Below are 2,692 nucleotides of genomic sequence, written 5' to 3' on the forward strand. Positions count from 1 at the left end.
GATAGAGCAATTTTCAAGGATGAATGGAAATTGTGGTGTCTGATTATCTGTAGGAATAAAGGGTGGAAGAGTTTTTAAGCACTGGGGTGAGTTAGTGGACAAGTACTGCAGGATGGTAGGGGTTGAGATTGATCAATGGGATGTGTTGAGCACATTGAGTTATTCTGGAGTTTGCAAATGTTTTTCCCTGTGATTAGGCCATCTGTGCTTGCTAAGTGGCACCCAATAGTTAGGCTAGTATCATTGATTGCAGTGGCAGCCCATCTGGAGCGGCTGCTGCAAAGACACAGGTTGCAGTTGGGGAGGTGCAGCTGGGGCTGTGCACTCCATGGAGCCAGTGGGAGCCAGGAACAGGAGGGAGTCCTGTCCCTTTCTGAGTTGGTCAAAAGGAAGCCCTGTGCTCCCAGGCACAGCTGCAGCTGCCCAGCTGTGGCTGTGGACCCAGCCATCCTTGTGCTCTCAGGGGCCCAGGAAGCTCCCTTGCCTCAGCAGGCTCAGAAGTGCCTGCTCCCACTGCCTGGCCTCTCCCCATTCCCAGTGCCCACTTTGATTTCAGAGCAAAATTGTGGCTGAGCTCAGGTGCTGTCATGACTTGGCTGGGTGTGCATACTCAGGGTAGTACTGACATGCCAGCCTCCTGCTGCCTCAGGCCCCTCCAGACTTTGGCCACTGACAGGCATGGGAGGGAGGCTGAGGGGGTGCTGAGGGCAGCTTGGTGTAGGACTTCAGGCACCCCTCAGCATGAGCAGCCTGGGCCCCATGAATGCCATCAGGAGACATACAGGCTCCTGGGCAGAAAGAGGTGGGTCCCGGGTGAAATCCCACCTTCAAGCCAGGGATGGCCTGAAGGCTGGGGGCCAGGCTGTCACTTCAGTGGATCAGAGTGAGAACTTATGGTGCTTTTTCTAGCCTGCCCATGGCCACCCATGGACTAATCAGCATGCACTTCCTTCCATCTGAAGCCCATAAAAACCTCAGACTCAGCCAGACTTGGGCAGACAATGGGATGACGTACCTGTGGAGAGAACTACCCACTATGGGTCTCCTCTCTATTAATAGCTGTACATTCATTGGGATGACCTGCATGAGAATAGGAGCTACCCACTCTGGGTCCCCTCTCCACTGATGGCTGCACGGATTACAGGACAACCTGCCTGCAGAGAGGAGCTACCCATTTCGGGTCTCCTGAGAGCTCTACTGTCGCTCAGTAAAGCACTTCACCTTGCTCACCCTCCAGTTGTCTGCATACTTCATTCTTCCCAGACGTGGGACAGGAACTCAGGACCCACCAAATGGCAGGACTTAAAGGGCTGTAACACAAACAAGGCTGAAACACAACCTCCTTGCTCACCATGTTGTGAGCATGAGAAGAATAGGAGAGAAAAGAAGAGCTGCAGCCTTTTGTGGGGCCCAGACCCAGGAGCTTCCTAAGCCAAGGCTGTGACACCCTCCTTGGGGCTCTGTGGTTTCTGGCATCTCCAAGCTTCCAGCCACCACCATGTTACCTAGTGCCCACAGTGGAAGCCGCTTGCAATATGCCTGGTTTAGCCACAGCCTCACAGGGAGCTGGCACCCATGCCTGCACCTGGAACTGCCTGCCCCACTGCAGCCAGCGTGCCTTGTTGTGTGCAGTGACTGGAACCCATGTTTGCTCATCCCTCACCACTCTGCACATGGCTCAGCCTTGGCAGGCATGGAATCTGGGCTAGCAGCATGAGCCGAACACAGTCTGCAAGGTTGAGTGGGTGGAACAAGCCCAGCAGGCCCAAGCAAAACTCAAGCAAAGGTGCCACTGGCCACAGAGGTTTCCAGCTGCCAAAGTGGCACCCTAAGCATCTCACGACATCATCTCACAGAGATTGGAAGACAGAGGTGCTATCTTTGTTAATTTAAAAAGGATAGCTCCCAGGACCTTGAGAAAGACATTCCTGGATTGTAAAATTGGCAAGAGGCTTTAAAAAATGTACATCTCAAAGGGGCAGAGAAAGAAGTTACAATTAGAGAGTTTTCTAAAGTAAATTCTCTAAGAAAAGAGAGGCCAGGAAGAATTCTATCTAAAGTTTAGTCAAACAGAGGAGATTTTTATGAGAGTCTTGATCACGCCTAGACTTCCTGAGCAGTTTCCTGCTCAACCCTAGAAGAAGGAAGAAAAAACACCAGGAAATGCTGGTTATTTTTATTTCCTGCTAGATTGATGGAATGGAGTCACAAAGTCAATTAATATAATTGCACAAAATATAGAATGCTTGGCTTCTTGCACACCTGGTCTGGTAACTGTGATTTATTAATATACATCAGATGATTAATCATTTTTTCTCTTTTAAATACACCTCAGAAACCTTTTTAAAGACTTGCTATTTACAGCTCCCCCAAACCAACTACATCCAGAATCACAAACTAATCACTAATAACTAACACCAGAGTTTTACCAGTATTTATAATTAAAATCTAGTCATATGTGGTAAAACAAACAGGAAATGAGCATCTGTCATGCTCAAGGCATGAGCATATGTTTAGGAAAACTGGTAAATAGAACAGTGAGTGACTGTAAACTCAATTACCAACTTTTTAAAAGACAATAATGTAATAATTATGAACAAGTATAAGAAAGAATGCAAAATCTACATTTTAAATTTTTTAAATAAATGATGTTTTAAATTAATGTGAGTATATTGTATAAGATGGTTAATGT

General features: G+C 47.7%; 1 annotated feature.

Moving 5' to 3' along the window:
* Positions 1,616-2,116: an enhancer, noted in NCBI's record as "H3K4me1 hESC enhancer chr13:61720425-61720925 (GRCh37/hg19 assembly coordinates)". NCBI's record gives its function as "activates a minimal SCP1, AML or CMV promoter by ChIP-STARR-seq in primed H9 embryonic stem cells {active_cell/tissue: H9 hESC(primed)}" and the evidence as "EXISTENCE:reporter gene assay evidence [ECO:0000049][PMID:30033119]".

This window comes from Homo sapiens, chromosome 13 (assembly GCF_000001405.40).
Source record: "Homo sapiens chromosome 13, GRCh38.p14 Primary Assembly".
Taxonomy (NCBI): Eukaryota; Metazoa; Chordata; class Mammalia; order Primates; family Hominidae; genus Homo; species Homo sapiens.